The sequence below is a fragment of the Homo sapiens genome, chromosome 9 (genome assembly GCF_000001405.40).
Source record: "Homo sapiens chromosome 9, GRCh38.p14 Primary Assembly".
Taxonomy (NCBI): domain Eukaryota; kingdom Metazoa; phylum Chordata; class Mammalia; order Primates; family Hominidae; genus Homo; species Homo sapiens.
Window position 1 is genome coordinate 86,637,074 of NC_000009.12, and position 23,106 is coordinate 86,660,179.

The 23,106-nt window shown below is 42.0% G+C and overlaps 1 annotated feature.

The window, feature by feature from the left end:
• Positions 2,386-2,886: an enhancer, noted in NCBI's record as "H3K4me1 hESC enhancer chr9:89254374-89254874 (GRCh37/hg19 assembly coordinates)". NCBI's record gives its function as "activates a minimal SCP1, AML or CMV promoter by ChIP-STARR-seq in primed H9 embryonic stem cells {active_cell/tissue: H9 hESC(primed)}" and the evidence as "EXISTENCE:reporter gene assay evidence [ECO:0000049][PMID:30033119]".

A 23,106-nucleotide genomic window follows, 5' to 3' on the forward strand; every position in this document is an offset into this window, starting at 1 on the left:
AATATGTATGCATATATGTATGTGCATACATATAAATATGTATATGTATGAATTATTCTTATCATTTCCTAGTCATCATTTTATGTGAAATGCGGCAATAATGGAGAACTTACGGGAGGCAAATTCAATGTTATGATTGACATTCTGAAAGGACCCTATGTGGGGGAGGAGGGGGGTGCAGTAATATATGACTTCGTTTGCGGTGAGAGGGCGTGCAGTTTTAAGTATGTGTGGCCTTCCAATTGTCTCTAGTTTGTTTTCTAAAACCACAGTTCATGACATCCAGCTTTTACAAGACGAAATGTTTCCCTGATGAAAAAAATATTAGCAGTAGGTTAGAAATATCGAAAGAAACACATAAGTTTGTGCCCTCCAATGTGTCTGTAAGACTCCTCGGAAAGATATCAGCTGGTATTCAAGAATTTTTTCTAACTTAAATTCATTTCTCCTCCTCCCTCCCCACCATTTTTTCCTAGTTAGAATTTAGTGTTTGCCGGCTGGGCTTGTTCAGCCTGTGCTTGTCGGCTCCAGCTTGGGTCAAACGTGAGCGGCTGGACATCAGGGACCACAAGGTGGCGCTCTTGCCCGTGGGGGTGGGATCTGGCCCACCTTAAGATGGCCTCCATCTCCCCTTGGCTGTGGTTCAGAATCCCCCCAGACTCATGCAAAGAGGGCACAGCTATTTGTGAAGGAGGTCAGTGCCTGCAGCGAGATGATTGAAAGAAGGGGCGGAGCTCTGGATTCCTCTCTCTGGGTCAGCCTCTGGACTGATGCAGCGTTGATGCTGCACGTCCTGTGGAGTGGGTACACTGGGAGTCTAACCTGGAGACAGCCACTCACGCTTGACCCCTGTCCCAAAAAGAAAAAGGGTCACGAAGCTTTCAGGAAGCTCTACTCTGCTTTCTTCCCAATGATCTCCACAGCAATGGGCATTTCTTTTCTTTTTCCCCCTTGAAATTTAACTTAACGTTACATTTTATTTAATTATTTCTCCCCATGCCAAAAAAAAAAAAAGATACAGAATAGCTTAATTGAGACACTAAAAGAGAATAAACTGAATAAAAGGAACTCATGGCAAATGGAAATTAAAATGAAGATCAAGTTAGACTCAGTGTGCAAACCTATAGAGCCTATATATTTATGCTTGAAGTTCTCAGGGAAGCAAAAGCTCTTGCCTTGGGCCCCCTGCTGTAATGCAATTTGTGCAGACCCTGAAGGTATTCACAGAGCTGTCTGGGCCCTAAAGGCTGTCAGCCCCATCCTCCAGGCCCTCTCTCTCTTCCTTGACGGCTGGTCAGATGTTAGAGGTTGCAGCAGAGGACTCTGAGACCCTAGGGAATGGCAGGGCCACAAAAAGAAAGTGCCTGGGTCCCTGAATTGCTGTGTGGATGAGAGCTTCCCACTGACCAGGAACCCCTCTTGGAACTTTATAAGGTCTGTTGTGTTTGAAATTGTTGGTTGAAGCAATAGCCTGTCTGATTAATATGCTTTCCATTGTAGTCTGGGCAGCCTTGAGAACCACCAGGAGCTTGAGCGACAGTCAGAATCATGTTGGCTGTGAGCCTGTAACCTGGTTGATTGTGTGCCTGTCCTGTGTGTCCCAGCTGGTGCCATGTGCCTCCTTAGGCCTGCTATAGATTTGTGATTCTATCACTGAAATTTGCTTTGGTCGCTGATTATCACTTTCTTCCTACTGCTGCTTATTTTCTGCCCATTCAGAAGTGGAGGATGATTTTTTTCTCAATTGACCAAAGATTTAGCTCTAGCATTAGATATTCAGCTTACCAAGGCATTACACCTTTTGCCTATAGCTTTTCTTCTTTCCCAGTCCATTCCCCAGGATACCGTTTCCCAAATTGTTCTGTGGAACACTAGCTTAGTACATGATATCGATAAATATGTGGGGATAAAGAAGGGTTTTATGGCCAAATTATTGAGGAAAAAAATGGATTAGATGAAGTTAAAGATTTCTTGATGAGTATGGTGGCACATGCCTGTAGTCCAGGCTACCTGAGAGGCTGAGGCAGGAGGATTGCTTGAGCCCAGGAGTTAGAGTCCAGCCTAGGCAACATAGTGACACTCTCTGTAAAATAAATAAACAAGACAATTAAAAAAAAAGATTTCTTTAATGCAGGACTTCTCGGAGCTTTTAACATTCTAGTGAAGGGAACAGCAAAGTGTGGCTCATAGGCCAAATCTGACCTGCCATCTGCTTTTGCAAGTAAAGTTTTATTGGAACACAGCCATGCTCATTTGTTGACATATTCTCCATGGCTGCATTCTTGCTGCAGTGGCAGAGGTGAGTAGCTACCTCAGTGACCAAATAGCACACAAAGCAGAAAATATGTACTTTTTGGCCTTTTAGAGAAAAGGTTTCCCAACCTCTGCTCCCATGTCTCCAAAAGGAGGAATACATGTGGGTTCACACATAGGGGTTCACACTTTTTTGGCTTCAAATCCCTTCCTTCCTTGGACAACCTATTAACCTCTTGAGAGTTTCAGTTACTCTTGGAAGATGTCATCAGAAGATTGGAAGGCCTTCGTATGACCCTTCGTATTACCATATATTCATATTATCTTTTATCTCTACCTCCACTGCCAAACTCAAACACATTTCTAGTTGCCCATGAACCCTCATCTCAACTTTTTTCTCACAGCAAGTTCCCTGCCCTGTTTCTTTTCCAACTCCTCAGTCCCAGGAGTTACTTCTCTTAATCCTGGTGTTCTGAATGACTGCAGGATTGAAATTCTGCGTCCTACTTCTCTCTAAGAGCACTGGATGGCAAGGTTCTGCAGGTGGGCAGGTCTGCCCATCCCCTGTATTAACCATGGTGGAGGGCGATGAACCTGACAGAGTGCACAGGCTGCCAGCTGCCCTGGAGCCTGCCTGCTCCTAACTGGCATGCAGGCCATGTATGGTAATGCAGGAGGCCAGCCTCCGGCCTCGGGAAGGCTCATTCCTACCTCCGGGCAACTGTAGGTGTGCAAATAGCTCAAGGAAGGATCATTTTAAATGCCTTGAAAGCCTGATTTGTAAATAATCTAAGACCAAAGACAGAGCAAGTTAAATATTTATTTGAAGATTATGTCTCTAAGGAGGGATTGTTGAAAATTAGTGAGTGCCTTCCCTTCTTGCCTTCCCTCCCATGCTGGAGGGCATATTATTTTTATGGCTGTGTTTGACAGCCAGAACAAGCCTCTGTAGATTTACTGGTTGTTTGTAGTGGCATTTATGTGTTTGAATGAGCTGGGCAAACAAGAAGGAGGGAGGTGCGGGTGGTTAATTAACTCTGAGAATCTCTTTGCCCACACTTCCATACTCGGGAAATGCTGGTAAAAGAACCATTCACAGGTTTTTTAAGAAGAATAGCCACACAAAAATCCTTCCCTTCACAGGGCTGGTTTGGAAAGCACAGCAAATCAGCACTCCTGCCATTGTAGACTCAGAATCTCCAGGGTGAAAGGCTTGCTTCTGAGCAGAAAATATATGTGGCCATGACTTTCTGGATCAGAAAACCAGCAGTCCAGTCAGTTCCTGGGATACTGGCATTCATTCATTCACCCAATAGTTTCTTGCCACTTGATAGCTGTAGGGCCTGGGTATGTTCATATATATATACATATATCCAGGTCAGCCTGCTTTCTGAGGTATACACAGAAACAGATTTGAAAAATTGCTATTTTATTCTTTTTTAATGAATAAATATATAGTGAAAATCAAGCCTGATGGGAAAAAAAAAAAAACTCCAAAAGTCTTGGTCGATCAACCTTGCATTTAACCATCTATAGCACTTTCCTCTCCTGGGATATTTTATAAGATAAACTAGGCTCAGACTGTGGGCACCTGGATTCTCATCCCATTTCTCCCAGACAGAATCTGTGAATTCTTGGGGGAAGCCCCTCACCTCTTTTGGCCTCACTGTTGAGATGAAGGTGTTGGATCACCTCACTCTCTGGGCCTCCTTGTTGAGATGAACAACTTGCATTAAATAAATGTCCCCTCAACTTGCATGATCTTAGGAATCATCTGGAGGATCCAATTCAGTAGACCTGGGGTAAGGCCTGGGAATCTAAGATTCTATTAAAAGCCCCAGGTGATGGTCATGGGAACATCTGGGAAACACTGGATTGGATGATCTTTGTGGTCCCCTCTGGATATGACCTTTTAATATCATCATTTTTCCAGGAACTCCCCAACCCACTTCAATGGATATCTCTGAAAAAGCTTTAATAAGAGTCCAGAGAATCACTGGACTTTTCAAACCACACAGACAAAAAGAGAAGCATCAGAGAAAGGTCATACACAAACGTTTCAAAACCACTGATGCACCGTAGCTCACAGGTGTTCTCCTTGAATGGGGTAGCAGGGACATAAATGGGGCAGATTCCCTTAGTGACAAAAAGCACAATGGCGAAATGAGGACAAAGTCACTCTACTGTGCCGTGGCCCCAGGAATGTGGAGAGTGCATGGGAGGATGGGACCATGTGTGGATGTGGGGTCAGAAGCCACCCATCCAGCTTTGACACTGTGGATGCCGTTGGGCACTGATTTCAGGAGATACACAGAGGAAGGGGGAGCTGTGGGCACCTCTTCTTTCCCTGACTTACCATGGCCCTCTGGGGTAGGGAGGTTAAGAACTTATAGGCACTCACTCTCCCCTCTGTCCCAGGCTCTCATCCCAGGCCCTGGGATGCTGCTGCCAGCTCTCTGGGTCATCCTCTAGTACTTGCTCTCCTTCCATCTCTTCTCCAAGGCACCTTTCCTCCCTCTGCAAGAAACTTTTCATGCCTACAAGCCCCACTCCTTGTGCATGAGAGAAAAATGAGAGAAGCTCTTTTTTGTTGTGCACAGAGGTTTTGCAATACCTCCTTCTCCTCTTGCTCTGTGGGTCTAGCCCTAACTCCTGCTAACTCCTGCTAGGTGGCTTAAGCTTTTGGGCTCTGGTGAGCCCTTCACCACTCATTGTCCCTCTAGCCTTAGGGGAGGCATCAGCTTTATGCTCTTCTGAGCTTTAGGTTGCCTCAGCATCTCTTGTTGGGCTTCTCAGCTCTTACATCATCTTTGTGTTAGTTTGTGGCATTAAGTTCCTTTGGTGTAAGAGACCTGTATGCGTTTCTGTTTTTCTGACTTGACCGCAAACATCCTAATTTTCAAGGTAGGCCCCCGGGCTTAATTGCTGCTCTGAGTAATGCATATAGCAGTAGCATCTGACAAGTGACTGGCTGAGATGCCATACTTAAACAAAAACCTCACACTTAGGATGTCCCAAATTGAATACATTGACCTTTCCAATTGTCTTCTGATCTCAGTGTTTACAGAATAACATTTCTGGCCTGTTGCAGTTGCCAGTGTTCAGATTCTCAATGTTCTCTACACCTCTTCCCTCTACCTCACCCCGCACATTCAATAGAATGCCAGTCCTCTCGATGACAGTGCCCTGATAAGTACGAATCCACACCCCCATAAGCATCCCCATAAACCAGCTTCAGGCTGTTATTTTTCCTTTTGCTGCAAAGGCCTCTGCTGGTCCCTGGCTTTTGGTGTCTTCCCACCTCTGATCCACACATGTGCTTCTGGAGGGATATTAGTCAAGCACAACTGTGTTCTGTCCACCGCTGACAAGATAAAGGTCCCACTCTCCTGGCAAATGAGCCCTTGGAGGATCTAACCCATCTATATAGCCTCACTCCTGGCAGGCGGTACCTCTCACCATTTCTCAGGCATACCTTGCATTTCCTGCATTCACACTGTTCCCTCCTCTCAGAATGCCCTTTCTTCTTATTTCTACCTAGCTTCAAGTCCTTGGTTTAATGCCAGCTCCAACCTAAAGCCTCTCCTAATCCTCCTATCTGGAACTAATCTCTCCTTCCTCAACGCGCTCCTGCGTTTCATTGTTCAGCCCCTTTGCCTCTTACCACATTCTGCCTTATAGGGTCGCTATGTTGCTAAGTCACCCCCAAATGGAAAGTCCTCTGGATGTGGTGCTTGTTCATATGTACAGCTCCTATCAAATAGTTGCTGTTCAGTGGAGACTGGGTAGAAGACATGTTATGGTCACTCAGTTAATGCATATCACATTTGTGAATTACAGCAATGCTTTCATACATACCTCTCTATATTTAAATCTATCTATTATTTTGTCAATGACATTGCTATTCTTCTTGGGAAATAGTACTGGCTTCTCTTTTTAACCCAGTCTCTTAAACACAATCACTGGATATTAATAATTTATTAGACAAAATTTCCCATACAGATGATTTGAGTGTCAGTCACATGCACATGTTAGGTGATTTGCATACATTATTTTATATAATCCTCTCAAGGCGGGACTCTCTTTATTTTATAGATGAGAAAAACTAAGGCTCATACAGATTAAAGACTTTTATCAGCACTGTTAGCTGGTGAGTGGCGGGGCCAGGATCTGAAGGGGGATCTACATGATTTAAAACCTTACGTCATAGAAGGATACGTTCTTTACCTTCATCTTGGGGAAGAAAGATTTATCTCATGAGAAAAGACTAAATTTACAGACGAAAACTTCCATTTCTTGTGTCTTACTGGGCTTGGAATGTCTCCGCTGGTCTTTGATGACCCTGGGCACTAGTGAGGTTGCCCACCTTACTCCATTTCTCCTCTGGTTTTCTCCATAGTAACACAGATACTTCTTAATGAAGTCCTGCACCCCAGATTCCCAATCTAGTTCTTTCACCAGCTCACTATCATTAACCCCACCCCCGGCCCCAGGTAGGCATGCCATCCTAATTCTCAATAGCTCACCAGTTGAAAAATAGCTTCTCCTTGGAAAAGACCCAGAGGATGCCATGCTGGCTGGTGGGAGATGGATCTTGCCATCACGGTCACAGACGCGAGATGAGCAGCAGAATTCCTGGCTTGGCCTCCGTGTCGGGTCTGAGGAGGCTGGAGCTGTTGGCAATTCTTTCCCGGGTCTGTCTTGCCTGCCAAGTTGGTTGACCTCTGGGGCATGGTGAAAGGTGTAGCTTTTTGGTTAGCTATTTTTCAGGGCTTTTCGGTTCCCTTGCTTTCTTTCCCCTTTAGTTTTTCTTTTCAGAGAGACTCTTAGCTTCCTCATTCAATGCAATAGCCCAGATGCATTGAGGCATGGGGGCCCAGAGGCACTGGACTCATTAACATGAGTCCTGTAAGTGAGTATAAAAGTGTTAATACAGTAGCAACGTGAGCCGGCTCCCTTTAAAAACAAAAAACAAAAAACAAAAAAAACTCTTAGTGTTAGGTAATCCTCATTGTCTTTCTTGCCTTATTTCTTCTCCACTCAAGAGTTTCTGTCTTTCCTTTTACCCTTTCTTTACTCTTCTCTCCATCTCCCTTTGTCTTTCATCTCTCTTTAAAGGCAAAACACGACACAGCTTCTCAGTGTATGCCTGTCAGACTTGTTGGCCCTCAGGCTGAAAAAGTTCTCTGAGTTCTCAGGAATCCTCCCAAGGCTGGCTGGCTGGCTTTGAGGACTATCACACCAAAAAGTACTGCTGCCTTCCAGGTACAGACCAGGTTGGACTGGATTGGGAGTCTAATTACCAGCAGAAAATTAAAGAAAGGTAATAATTGCCCTTAAGCACTTAACAAAAGCAAATCTCACCTTGAAGGTTTGTAAATTTGTAGTGAGGACTGATTTAAGGGAGCTTGTGCTGCACTCTTTGTGTTTGATTTGCAAACCAGAATGCACACGCCTCCATATGCATAATTGGATCCTCACGGTCTCTGCCTCCATGTGACCATGCAGTAGTTTATTTATCCAGTGCTCATTCAAAGAAAAGCTGAATGGAACAAGAAAACTCCTACTTTGCGATAGGATTAGATACCATGGAGTATTCCTCCCCCGTACTCTTTCAAAGATTTTTTTTTTAAGTTTCTAAATCTGCTTGGGAAGAAAAAGTAAATTGCCAGAAGTGAGATTAGTGGGGAATATTGTTCTTAGGACAATAGTGTCTTTATGGCTTGACTGGTATGAGCTCCCCGCTTCAAAAAAATACAAGAGCTGGAGGTGTGGGGGTTCTTAATTGCCTACATCTGATCAACTGGCAGCAAAAAAAAAAAAAAAAGAAGAAGAAGAAGAAGAAAGAAATCTCATTCAGCTCTGATTTGGCCTGGATCAAGTCCACTTGCTAATCAGAGTTTAATGAGGATGCCACTGGCCCTGTTGTATTTGCCGATGCTCCCACTAAGGTCCCTGGCCTTATGTTTGTGCAGGGAGCCCTTGCATCCCGCCGCCCCACGAAGCAGGATGCGGGCTGAGATGGAAAAGTCCCGGCCCGGAGAAGTTAATTAAGTTTAGGCCCTTGGCATTCCAAGTCACCGGAACCGATGGTGGGAAGCCTCACCCACCGGCACAAAAGAGACCCACATGGAGCTCTGAATGACTGTCCCTGGCGGTGGTAGCTGGGCTTCTGCGCGCCCCACTGCCAGCTCTTAACCCCGGGAACTGTGTCCCCTCCCCTCCACTGCACAAACTGAATAGGCCTTCAGGACCGCGGAGGGCCCTGGCTCTGGCGTAGGAGGTTTTGGGAAGCGCATGGTCCAGCATCGGATGTTACAAGAGCGCGGATGCCAGGCCCTGGCAGGGATTGACAGATCTGTGAAGGCTCAGACGAAGGCCTGATTTGTTTTGTGACAGTTCCTTTGGTTTTTAACACAAATTATCATAAGCAAAAAAATTGAACTTGAGGTGAGCAAGCCACTCTTTCTTTCTTTTTTTTTTTTCAATTGTATATTCCATAATCTCTGAGTAGAGGAAACTGAGCATCTGTGTCTCCATGGGGATGCTGCGGAGAGCTGTAGGTCTTGGGTTCAAGGAGCCCCAGGGTAAGGGACTCCCCCTCCTTGCTGCCTGTTTGTGTTCCTGGCAAGCAAAGCCAGGAGGACAGTGGAAAGAATGGGAGGTTGAGAGGCTTACTGACTTGGGTTTGAGTTCCAGGCCCACCTGAATTCTTTGAGGCTCAGTGTCCCTTATGACAAATAGAAAAATCATAGTCATTGGCCAGATAACAATGTCTCGGTCAAGACAGGGCTAGTATATGACAGTGGTCCCATAAGATTAGATGGAGCTGAAAAAATCCTATCACTTAGAGACATGATAACTGTGGTAATGTCATAGCACAAGGCATTGCTCACGTGTTTATGGTGATCCTGGCAGAAACAAACCTACTGCGATGCTGGCTGTATAACAGTCGGACACATACATACATATGTGCAGTGCATACTACTTGATAATGATAATAAATGACTGTTATTCATTTGTGTATTTACAATACTATACTTTTTATTATTATTTTGGAGTGTACATCTACTGAAAAAAAAAGTTAACTGTAAAAGAGCCTCAGGCAGGTCCTTCAGAAGGTATAATAGCAGAAGGGATTGTTATTCTAGGACCAGATGGCTCCACGTGTGCTTCTGTCCCTGAAGACCTTCCAGTGGGAGAAGATGTGGAGGTGGAAGACAGTGATATTGATGATCCTGACCCTGTGTAGGCCTAGGTGTGTTTTTAGTCTTAGGTTTTAGCAAAAAAGTTTACAAAGTAAAAAGTAAAAGCTTAAAAAATAGAAAAAGCTTATAGAAAAATGATATAAAGAAAAATGTTTTTGTAAAGCTGTAAAATGTGTTTGGGTTTCAAGCTAAATGTTATCATAAAAGAGTCAAAAAGCTTAAAAAAGAAAACTTTAGGCCAGGTGCGGTGGCTCACGCTTGTAATCCCAGCACTTTGGGAGGCCGAGGCAGGTGGATCATGAGGTCAGGAGTTCAAGGCCAGCCTGGCCAAGATGGTGAAACCAAGTCTCTACTAAAAATACAAAAATTAGCTGGGCGTGGTGGCGGGCACCTGTAATCCCAGCTACTTGGGAGGCTGAGGTAGAGAATTGCTTGAACCTGGGAGGTGGAGGTTGTAGTGAGCTGAGATTGCACCACTGCACTCCAGCCTGGGCGACAGAACAAGACTTCATCTCAAAAAAAAAAAAAAAAGAAAAAAAAAACAGAAAAAGAAAAAGAAAACTTTAAAAAGTAAAACAGTTACAATAAACTAGGGTTAATTTATTATTGAAGAAAGAAATTTTAAACATAAATTTAGGGTAACCTAAGTGTCCAGTGTTTATAACATCTGCAATAATGCACAGTCATGCCCTAGGCCTTCACGTTCACCCAGCACTCACTCATGAACTCACCCAGAGCAACTTCCAGTCCTGCAAGGTCCATTCATGGCAAGTGCCCTATAAAGGTGTATTGTTAAAAAAGTAATTTTTTTTAATATTTTTTTTTTCATTTTTACAAGACAGAGTCCTGATATGTTGCCCAGGTTGGTCTCAAACTCTTGAGTGATCTGCCGGCCTTGACCTCCCAAAGTGCTGGGATTACAGGCATGAGCCCCTGCACTCAGCCCTAAAATGAAATATTTTATACTGTATTTGTACTGTACCTATTCTATGTTTAGATATGTTTAGGTACACAAATAGCTGCCATTGTGTTTCGGTTGCCTACAGTATTCAGTGTAGTACCATGCTGCCCAAGTTTGTAACCTAGGAGCATAGGCCATACCATATAGCCTAGCTGTGTAGGAGGCTATACTTTCTAGATGTGTATAAGTACGCTCTACGATGTTTACACAATGAAGAAATCACCTACAGTTGTGTTTCTCAGAATGTGTCCCTGCCGTTAGGTGACACATGACTGTACTTACCATAGTGTAAGGATTGAGATATGTGTGGACATTGTCAGGAGTGTCATTCTCAAGGTCACATGATAAGTGGGCCTGTTCCTTCCAGGCTGATGGTTCTCAAAATCTAGCCATCATTAGAATTCCCTAAAGAGCTAGTGAGCATGCGTGCTCCTGGGCTCCACCTACAGAGACTGATTCAGCAGGCCTGAGAATGTGCATTCCTAACAAGATCCAGGTGATGCTGATGCAGGTGAATTGTGGACCAGGTTTCAAGACATAACCTTAGATGATAGGGCAGTCGGGCAGGGTTCTGCAAGTACTAAGTAGTTTTATGACATCTGAAGCCACCTGCATTTACAGTATTATGGGTAGAATTTATTCTACTGGTCTATAATTATTTTTTCTTTCAGTGTCTCTCTTATTAACATTTATTGAACATTTTCTGTGTCCCAAGCATTATATTATACTAAGCCTATTACCAATATTATCTCATTTAATCCTCTCCTTTTCTCATTAAAACTTGCAACTAGCTGCATGGCTTTCTCACGCCATTCATAATAACTTAAGCTCAAACTGTTACCTTTTCAATGAGGACTTACGCTTTTTAAAATCAAATCCTCTCTTCGTTCCTCAGCACATCTTAGCCTCCTTTTCTGCTTTTTATTTCCCTTTGAAAAGTATTAATCGCTATTGAATATACTATGTATTTTATTTATTTCATTTGTTATCTGAATACCCTCAAGATTTCCTTCCTCCCTCCCTTCCTTCCTTCCTTCCTTCCTTCCTTCCTTCCTTCCTTCCTTCCTTCCTTCTTTCCTTCCTTCCTCCCTCCCTCCCTCCCTCCCTCCCTCCCTTCCTTCCTTTCTTCTGTGTTGTTTACTGGGATTTCTCTAGTCTCTACAACAGTCACTGACCCATTCTAGGTGTGCTATTAAAATGCATTAAACAAATGAAAGAACCAGCTCAGGAAGTAGATACTTCACTTTGTGGATGAAAAACAGGTTTAGGAAAGATAGGTAATTTGGTCAAGATTGCATACCAATAGGTGGACAAGAAACAACAAAAACTCAGGTATGTGTGTCTCCAAAGCCGTGCTCTCAACCCGGGGCCACCTGCCCTCACTGCCATCATGCTCTGGGCTAATTTGGGCAGGTTCCACTGGGAGCCCAGAAACCTAACATGCAGCATCCCACGGGGCTCCGAAGGCCTATTCTCTCCTGAGAGAGCAAACTGAGAGTGTAGGGTGCAGGTTGACCCGAGGTGGGGAAGATGGTCTTCTGAGAACATCACACCTCAGCCAGCCCATCGTTTTGGAACATCTGGGTGCAGCAACAGAGAATTTTACCAACACACCACTCCCTCTTTGCTGAAGAGCTGACTGAACATGTTTTTCTGCTTCACAATTTGAATTCTCCCTCCAAGAAAATCCTTTCTCCAGCCCATAGGCAAGCTCATATATCTTATTTTATAATCCCACTGCTGAAATGTCAGCTGTAAACTGTGGAAGCCCATTTGGTTTTAATGCATGAGTGGCTCAATACATATTTGAGCAAATTAGTGAACAAAACTTTTTAAATTAAACTATTTTTTTGAGATAATTGTAGATTCATGTGCAGTTGTAAGAAATAATGCAGAGATATTCCTCAAACCCTTTACCCTGTTTCTCCCAATGATGATATCTTGCATAGCTGTAGTTCAATATCACAATCAGGATATTGACATTGATGCAGTGAAAATGCAGAACATTTCCATCTCCACAAGCATCTCTCATGTCGCTCTTTTATAGACACACCTAGTTCCCTTCTATCTTCCCTGTCCATAACCTCCTGGCAATCACTCATCTGTTCTCCATTTCTATAATTTTGTCATTTCAAGCATGTTTTATAAATGGAAACATACAGTATGTAGCCTGGTAGGATTGACTTTTCTCACTTAACATAATTCTCTAAAAATTCATCCAAGATGTTGTATGGGCCAGCAGTTCATTTCTTCACTGCTGGGTAGTATTACTTCATGATGTAGTTATACTAATTGTTTAACCATTTACCTATTGAAGGACATTTAGATTGCTTCCAATGTTTGTCTATTAAGAATAAAGCAGCTATGAATATTCATGGATAGGTTTTTGTGTGAACGTGAGTTTTCATTATTCTGGGATAAATGTGCAGGTTTATAATTGCTGGGCCATATGAAAGTTGATGTTTAATGTTTTTCTAAAACCACCAAACTGTTTTCCAGAGTGGCTGCAGCATTTTGCACTCCCACCAGCAATGTATGAGTGACCTGGTTTCTCTGTATCTTCCTCGGCATTTGGTGTTGTCATAAATTTTTATTTATATCATTCACATTAGGTGTGTAGCAATATCTCACTGTGGTTTGAATTTGCATTTCCCTAGTGGCGAATGATGCGGAACAACTTTTCACTTGCTTATTTGCCATCCGTATTTCCTCCCTGGTGAAATATCTGTTTATGTTGTTTGCCCACTTTCTAATTATACTGCTTGCTTTGTTGTTATTGAGTTTTCAGAATTTTGTATACATTCTAGATACTAGTCTCTTGTGAGAGATGTGATTTGTAAATATATTCTCTCAGTCTGTATCTTGTGTTTCTTTTTTTTTTTTTTCCATTTTCTTACCGGGGATTTTCACAGAGTAAAAGTTTTTAATTTTGGTGAAGTTCAGTTTATCAATTTTTTTTCTTTTATGCATTGTGCTTTGACATCTACTGTATGAACTCTTAGCCCTCGATACTGAAGATTTCCTCCTACATTATTTCCCAAAAGTTTTACATTTTACACTTAAGTCCATAATACATCTTGTGTTAAGTTTCGTATAAGGTATAAACTTAAATCAAGTTTTATTTTTTTCATTGGTGAATGCCCAATTACTTTAGCACCATTTATTGACAAGACTATCCTTCCTCCATTAAATGAGTGGCACTTTTGTCAAAAAGTTGAGTATATTTATGTGTCTGTTTCTGGGTTCTTTATTCTATTCCGTTGATCTGTGTGTCTATCTTTCCACCAATACTACACTCTTGATTAATGTACGTTTTGATTAATATAAGTTTTGAAATCGAGGGGACTGATTCTTCTTACTTCATTCTTCTTTTTCAAAATTGTTTAACTCTTCTAGTTTCTTTTGCATTTCCATATAAATTTTAGAATAATCTCATCTGTATCTATAAAAAATCTTGGCAGTGTTTTGGTAGGAACTGCCTTAAATCTTTATTTAATTTGGGAGAATTGACATCTTTACTATGTGGAGGGTTCTAGTCCATGTCCATGTGAGATATACTATGTCTTTGATTTCTTTCATCAGTATTTTGATGTTTTAAGCATGTGAGTCCTATACATATTTTGTTAGATTTACACCTGCTTTGTTTTTTGAGCTACTGGAAATGATAGTGCTTTAAAATTTGTTACCCTGTGTTTATTCATAATGTATAGACACGCAATTAATTCCTATATATTGATCTTATATCCTGCAGCCTTGTAGAAGTCACTTATTAGTTTTAGGAATTTTTTTTGGTAACTATCTTGAGATCTTCTCTGTAGGAAAATCTGTCTGCATGTAGAGGCAATTTTATTTCTTCCTTTCCAAGCTATATGCCTTTATTTACGTTTCTTGCCTTATTGTCTTGGCTAGAACGTCCAGTACTACATTGGATTAATGATGCATGCAGATATCCTTGTCTGATTTCATTCTTGGAGGAGAAGCATTCAGTCTTTCACCATCAGGTATAATTTTGGCTGTAAGTTTTTTTTGTAGATGCTCTTTATCAAGTTCTAGAAGTTCTTCTCTATTCCTGTTTTTCTGGGAATTTTCATCATGAATGGGTATTGGATTTCATCAAATGATTTTTCTGTATCAATTGATAAGATCATGTGACTTTTTTCTTCTTTAACTTATTAATATGGTAGATCTTGTTGATTGATTTTCAAATATCAATTGGTTTTGCATATCTGAGAATAAAGCCCACTTCGTCATGGTGTATAATTATTTTTTTGTATTGCTGAATTTTATCTGCTAATATTTTGTCAAGAAGTTTTGCATCTAAATTCATAAGGGATATTGGTCTGTGTTTTCTTTTCCTTCTCCTTTTTTGTACTGCCTTATTGTCTTTATCTGGTTTTGGCACCAGGGTAATAGAAGCTTCATAAAATGAATTGGTAAGTATAACCTCCTCTTCTATTTTCTGGAAGAGATTATGTAGAATTAATGCTAGTTCTTCTTTAAACATTCTCCAATGAAACCACCTGGACCTGGAGATCTCTTTTTTGGGAATTTTTAAATTACAAAGTCAATTTCATTAGTAGTTGTAGGGCTATTCAGATTTTCCAATGATTGATTCCAATGTTGGGTGAGTTGTGAGAAATTGGTTCATGTCCTCTAAGTGTCAATTTTATGTGTGTAGAGTTGTTTGTAGTACAGAATGGGGGGTCCCTGACTTATGATGGTTTTAATGCAGGACAAGTGGGGCTCAAAGTGGGACTTAGCCCATGAGGGTTCTTGGCTTTGCCCAGGAAATAATTCAAAGGCAAGCCAGAGGTAGAAGAAAACAGCTTTATTGAAGTGGCAGTGTTACTGCACTGATGGTGTTACAGCTCCGTGACTGCTCCTGCAGAGCAGGGCTACCCAGTAGGCAGAAAGTAGCAGCTCAGGACAGTCTTGCAGTCGTATCTATACCCACTTTTAATTGCATGCAGATTGAGGGATAGTTTATTAAGAAATTTCTAGGGAAGGGGTAGTAATTTTGGGGTCATTGGACCATTGCCATGGAAAGGGGTGGTAACTCCCGGGTGTTGCCATGGCAATGATAAATTGCCATGGCACACTGGTGGGCACGTCTGATTGGAAAGCTGCTTCTGCCCCAGCCCTGTTTTAGCTAGTCCTCAATCTGGTCCGGTGTCTGAACCCTGCCTCTGGAGTCAAGTCCCGCCTCCTACCTCAGTTCCATGAGAGTTTTGGATGGTGGGTGCTCTAGTTTTTTCTCTCTCGAGTTTTGTCTCTCTTTCTTTCTCTAACAGTGACTTATACCATCATTAGATTTCTCTAGTCAATTTTCCCGGCAATGTAACAGCACTTTCATATGTGAGGCACTGAGAAAATACTGAAAAGACAGGCAAAGGCATAACTTGGCCCTCAGGGGAATCATAAACTAACCCAGACAGATGCTTGCTTGCCCAAAATGATCCTGTTCAGATAAAATAAGATGCAATTTGAAATCTAGCCCCTAATTCAAGTTAAAAAACAACCTCCATGGTTTTATTTATAGCTTATTTCTTGATTCCAGCACCTTTCCTGTCCAAGTAAGAACCAGTCCTCCCTCATGTGTGAAGGCACAACAACTGAGTCTGACTCACTGCCTAGCTCTATATGATGTAAACACAATAAAAGTATATTAAGCCAACTTTGATTCAATAATACAAGCAAATTTTCTTTTATTGTGGTAAAATATACATAACATAAAATTTACCATTTTAATCATTTTTAAGTGTACAGTTTTGTGACATTAGTATACTCTCATTGTTGTGCAACCATCACCACTATCCATCTCCAGCAGTCTGTAATTATCCTTGCTGAAACTCTATACCCATTAAACATTAACTCCTCATGTCTGTCTCCCCCACCCTCCTGGTTTAAACTTTATTTTGATGGTAAGGGTTAAAGAACATGTAGCCCTTGGAAGGCGTATGAAGCACATGCTCCAACTCTTTCTTTCTTTTTTTCAATAGTCCTTTATATCGGACCCAACACTGTGTGTATTAGTTAGGTTTCCATACCTATTTTACAGATAGGAAACCAAGGCCTAGTAAGCTAATGTCACCCCCTTTAACTGAACACAATTCTTGCTTGGCCTTTCCTTCTTGCCTAGGTGAATTATCTGCCCACCAAGAGTCAGATGACATTTTATGGCCTCCGTTGCTGGCTCATGCACTGCCCTGGGGTTTCTGAAATTCCAGCAGTGTGCAGGTGACTTGTAGATGATTGTATTTGTATTAGTCCGTTTTCACACTGCTATAAAGATACTACCTGAAACTGGGTAATTTATAAGCAAAAGAGGGTTAATTAGCTCACAGTTCTGCATGGCTGAGGAGGCCTCAGGAAACTTACAATCATGGTGGAAGGAGAAGGGGAAGCAGGTCCCTTCTTCACAAGACAGCAGGAGAGAGAGAGCTCGGGGAAACTGCCACTTTTAAACCATCAGATCTCATGAGAACTCCCTCACTATCATGAGAACAGCATGGAGGAAACCAACCCCATGATCAATCACTTCTCACCAGTTCCCTCCCTGGAGGTCTGTCCCTCCCAATTTGAGATGAGATTTGGGTGGGGACACAGAGCCAAACCATATCAGTATTGATGGTTCTGCTGTCATTGATTCTGTTTTCCAGTTACATCAGCAAGGAACCTGGGGCTCCACCTACAGGTGTTTAACTATGAGAGAATGAGATCTCTGGTTTTAAAGGGGTTCTTAGCCTAGATTCCAGGCTTGACTCTACCTCTCAACCACGGTTCAACTTTGAGCAGATTACATGGTCTCTCTAAATCTCAGCTTCCTCACTGTAAAGGAGCTTCAGTTTCTCCATGGTGCAACAGGGATAGTAACATGTTTGATGTTCCCACTTAGATATCTGATAGGCATCTCAAACTCAACAGAATGAAATTGAATTTTGATTTTTTTCCTCCTGAATTGGTTTCTTCTGCAGTCCTCTTTAGATTAATTAATGGATCTGACAGATGACATGACAGAAACCCAGAAGGAGACCTCCATTCCTTTTTTTTTCTTGATCATCAGAAAGTCCTATTTATTATGCCTGAGTTACAGTTTTGTTACGTACATCAATTTCTCTTCAATTTCACAGCCATTACCCTGGTTCAGCTCCAAAAAGGACTATGAAAATAGCCTCTCAACAGGTCTACCTGGTGCTTCTCTATCATCTTTAACAATACAAATGAGGATAAAAATAAGAATGTTTTTACAGTGCTTGGTCTGCCAGCCACTGTTCTAAGTGTATTACATATATTAATTTATTTAATCCATGTACCAGTCTTAGGCAAATCCCCTACTTAAAATTAATCCATGGCTTCTCATTGTTTTAAGAATAAAATTCAAGCTCTCTGTCTTGCTCTGCAAGATTCTGAATGATCTCACTTCTCCCTCCAATCTCTCCTCCCCAGTCTTCACCTTCACTCTTCAGAGGCTGACTACACTGCCTTCCTTTTTATTTCTCAAATATGTTCTCAAGTCTTTGCAGTTCCTGTTTTTTTCTGTTTTGTCTCCCAACTCTTTGCATGGCTAGGTTATTCCCATGCTTGAAGTCTTAGCTCATAAAATACCTCCTTGGAGAGGCCTTCCCAATCTTGTTTATCCTGTTTATGGGCCAAGAATTCTTGATCACATCATCCAGGTTATGATATGATGTGAACAATGCCTATCCCAGTTTGTATTGATCTTGTTTGTTTATTTGTGTATTTTTTTATTACCCCATTAGGCTGAAAGCTCTATGAGGGCAGAGACTTCATCTGTTTTGTTCCCTGTTCTTTTCAGCACCAAGGAGAATGCCTGGGTCCCAAGGGACTCAGTGGCTGTGGCTAGAATGAATCAGTGAAAGAATAAATCACACATGACAGAGGGCCTTTGACCTCATAAGGGTATTGGAGGATTAAAATGCATGGGATAGCCTATTGGTTGTACTTTATGAATCAGTCACCAGCTCAGATGTTTGAAAAGAATAATTATTTTCTTTTCTGTTATTTATCATTTCCTATAGCAGTTTTAAGTCGAAAGTTTCTTTTTCTTAGACAAGCAGACATGATAACCATAGTCTTCCTCTTTCAGACCCCTCCCAGATGTGTGCCAACTCAGGAATACCTTGTAATGCCAAAATTACATGAGGCAGGGCGATCAAGTTACTGCCAAGAACCAAGAGCCATGTCTACACAGCTCTGGGTGTAGCTCTTTTTTTTCTTTTCTTTTTCTTTTTTTGAGACAGGGTCTCACTCTGTCGCCCAGGCTGGAGTGCAGTGGCACAATCGTGGCTCACTGCAGCCTTGACCTCCAGGGCTGAAGTGATCCTCCCACCTCAGCCTCCTGAATAGCTGGGACTACAAGTGTGTGCCATCATGCCTGGCTAATTTTTAAATTTTTTGTAGAGACGAAGTCTCATTATGTTGCCCAGGCTGGTCTCGAACTCCTGAGCTCAAGCAATCCTCTTGTCTTGGCCTCCCAAAGTGCTGAGATTTGAGTGTAGCTCCTTAAAGAATTCAGGACCCACTCAGGTAGGGGACCTTCGGAGACTCCTGGCATCTGCTCTGTCTGGATGGACATGCAGCCGCTTCTCTGGGATCCTGCCCCTTCCTCTGTGGCATTGCCAGGAGAGGCCCACTGGTCTTACTCTTCCCACCCCTCCGCTAGGCTAGGGAACACTTAGGGGAGGGGGGAGCAAAGGAGGAGTCCTGCTGAACCCCTTACGCCTGGCAAAGACCTCATTCCTGCTCTTCAATCCCCTAGGGTCTTGCGGCTTAGATTCCTGGGAGATGATGGTCGGGGAGATTTTCAGGCTGCCTCCATTTATCCTCCCTTGAGTCAGTGATTACAGAAAGGAAAGGAAAAACACAAGAGGAAAACCATATAATGATACATCATAAAAAATATCTAGCCAACACTCACAGAGCACCAGTTACAGTGACCACCTAATAGATATTAATTCCTACTTTTGTCACATTCCTCCCTCCCTTAAAGGTCTCACAAATGATCTGTGGAGTGAAACCCCATTGGGTCATTAAGGCTGACCAGGATGAAACAACCACTTCTCTTACCAACTTATCTGTTTCCACAGGACTCACACTGTGGGGTAGCATGTAAAGTTCTTTCTCCCATTAGAAATTGTCCAAACAGGCATCCAGGTGACTTATCCAAACTCCACTTTTGTATGGAGTTTGGATAAATCCTCCTTTTTCTCTGCTTCCCAGAATGGTGCTATTGGGTTTGAGATATTCATATGCACAAAGTGGGGGTGACCTGCTTCAAAATCCCCGGGCCTGGGTTTATCCACATTACCAAGCTTCATCTCCCATCCTGTGTTCTCTGGTTTCCAGATGCCTTTGTTCAGGGCTTTGTATGAAGCAGATCCTCTCCAAGGACTGTTGAGAAAAGCCAAGGCCAAGGGCAATGTCCCTGTGGAGTGCCTGGAGAAAGAATTCAGGGACAATCTCCATTCTCTGTAACTCTCTTCACCGTGGTCCTACTTTACTATATATTTAGTATCTCACTGTAGGTTTTTTTTTTTTAAATAGACTTTGTTTTAGAGAAGTTTTATGTTCACAGTGAAATAGACCAGAAGGTATAAAGATTTCCCATATACCCCCTGCCTCCACACATGTACAGTTGATGCCATTATCAACATTCCCACCAACATGGTCCATTTGTTACATTTGATGAGCCTACATCAGTACATTATCATCACCCACAGTCCTTAGTTTACATTAGGGTTTACTGTTGGTGTTGTACATTCTATAGACTTGGACAAATGTGTAGTTGTGTGTATCCAGCACTGTAGTATCATACGGAGTGCTGTCACTGCCCTAAACATCTTCTGTGCTCCACCTATTCATCCCTTCTTCTCCCCACTGATCTATTTAGCCTTACCTTTTCCAGAATGTCATAGAGTTGGAATCGTGTGATATGTAGCCTTTGCACATCGGCTTCTTTTACTTAATAATATGCACTAAAGGGTCTTCCATGTCTTTTGTGGCTTGATAGCTCATTTCTTTTTAGAGCTGAATAATATTCCTTCGTTTAGATGTACCACAGTTTATGTATTCACCTACTGAAGGTCATCTGGTTACCTCCAAATTTTGCCAATTGTGAATAAAGCTGCTGTAAACATCTATGTGGAGCATTTTGTGTGTGAACATAGTTTTGAACTCTTTTGGGTAAATACCAAGGAGTGCATTGCTGGATCAAATGGCAGACTCACTCAGTTTTATTTTTAACCACCCATTATGGAGAATTTTGAACATATGCAAGAGTAGTCAGAATAATCAAATGAACACCTCTAAACCCATCAGTGAGAGCCAACAATCATCAGTCCATGGCCAATCCTATCCCATCCACACACTCATTCATCCCCCTACCCAAATTATTTTGATGCAAATCCCAGACATTATATAATTTATTTTGTAAATATCCCAGTACACATGTCTAAATGATAAGGACCTTTTACTATGCCATTACCACAAAACCATGATCATATCTGAAGTAAATTAATAAAATATCCACCTTTAATATCATCAATTAAGCAGTGTTCAAATTCCAGTTATCTCATGCTTATCATACATACTTTTATAGCTTTATGTTTGAATCTATTCCAGTAAGATCCTCACATTGTCATTGTTAGATGTGTCTTATAAGTATTCATAGGTTTCCTCTTTTGTCTTTTTTTTCTGTAATTTTTAGAAACTGAATTGTCTCTTTGAGTTTCCTGCAGCCTGCACTTGGAGTTTCCCACAGCCTGCACTTTGACGATTGTTTCTGTGTCACGCAGGAATTTTTTTTTTTGTTGTTGAGACGGAGACTCTCTCTGTTGCCCAGGCTGGAGTGCAGTGGTGCGATCTCGGCTGACTGCAACCTCCACCTCCCGGGTTCAAGTGATTCTCCAGCCTCAGCCTCCTGAGTAGCTGGGATTACAGGCACCCACCACCATGCCCAGCTAATTTTTATATTTTTAGTAGAGGCGGTGTTTTGCCATGTTGGCCATGCTGGTCTCGAACTCCTGACCTCAGATGATCCGCCCACCTCGGCCTCCCAAAGTGCTGGAATTACAGGTGGGAGCCACTGCGCCCGGCCATTTTTACATGTTCTTCCAGTTTCTGCATTTCCTTGAATCATAGTCTTGATAAAATTCAAGTTCTATTATTCTGGCAATAGTACATCAGAGATGGTGTCCTGTTCTCAAACCTGGGTCTTGTAGAATAGCTCTGTCCAATAAACTTCATGTGATGATAGAAACAGTCTATATTTGTGTTGTAGAATTATGGTAGCCACTAGCTCTATGTCACTATTAAGCACTTGTAAAGTGGCTAGTGCAACCAAGGAATTACATTTTAAATTGTATTTAATGAAATCTAAAGAGCTACCTGTGGCTGGTGGCTACCATATTGAATAGCACAGCTCTTGAGTTTCTGAAGTCATTGTTAGTGAGCAAAGTGTGGCCTGTGGGGCTGTAGTTAGGGGCTGGTGATGAAACGTCTTTAAAAAACAAGCAAGCCAGCAACTTCTCCCTCCACATGATGCAGTCAACACAGTTGCATCATTTACTACCTGAAAGGGCCAAAGCTGAGCTCCAGCACCCATCTTTTCCTTTTGGACTGAAAGGAGAACTCAGTCCTGTGTGCATCTCCTATACGCTGGGACCTGGGCACTGGCTGCTGCCTCCTCTTCATCTGTGGATGTCCTCAATAGTCCTAGCCCCCAGGCATCCTCAAGAAAACATACAATGATCATACATAATTCTCATAGCTATCTTCTGTAGAAGACCCTTTTGAGTATATGTGGTTTTAGTTTTTCAAATGAGTATCAATTGCCTTGAGAGGGATCTTTACTATGGAGTAAGTAAAGAAAGGCAGGATATTATCCAATCAAAGATGCCACCCAAGAAAAAACAGTGGTACAATGGGATTTGGCTGCTCCTGGGCTGACACCAGCCTTCCTTTCAGGTGACTTTGATCCTGTGAAACACACAGAGGTAGTCATTAGTGCTACACTGGTACCCAATTCTTTCCTTCAAGACACACAAAAAGCTGTTTCCTGTCCCCCTCTGTGGTTGAGCAGAGCCATCTGACCTGATCTGGCCAATGAGATGTGATAAGTGTTTCAAGCTAGAACAGTTCATCTTCTTTTTTTTCTTCAGAAATGAAACTTCCTCAGCTTGAGTTCTTGAGTGAAGATAGTAAAAAGAAGAATGTGTTCCAAGTGAAGGACACGTAACATGAGAAATAAACCTTTGCTGTTTTCAGCTACTGTCATTTTAGGAGTGCCTGTTACCTCGGCTGAACATAACCTGTTCTAGTGAGTGCACCTGTTTTAAGCCTAGCAAGAGGATGACTCAATGTGCTATGAAGAAACGGCATACACAGATTACAGTCCATTTAGAAAAAAAAAAAAAACAAAGGAGGAACTTATTAAAGTTGGTAACTAGGTTTCCTGAAGATTGGGTCTCTGCAATTGGATCTGCTCTTCTCTCCATAGGACTTCACTGGACCTCCAGAATCTTCTTCATGGATATTCATTGCGTAAGATAAAGACTCAGTGCATTAGCACTGAGATTCTAATTCTGCATTAGAACTGAGAGTTAATGTAAAGTGGTGTTAAAATGAGTGTTATATGTACACATATTTATTTTTTGATTGTTGGTT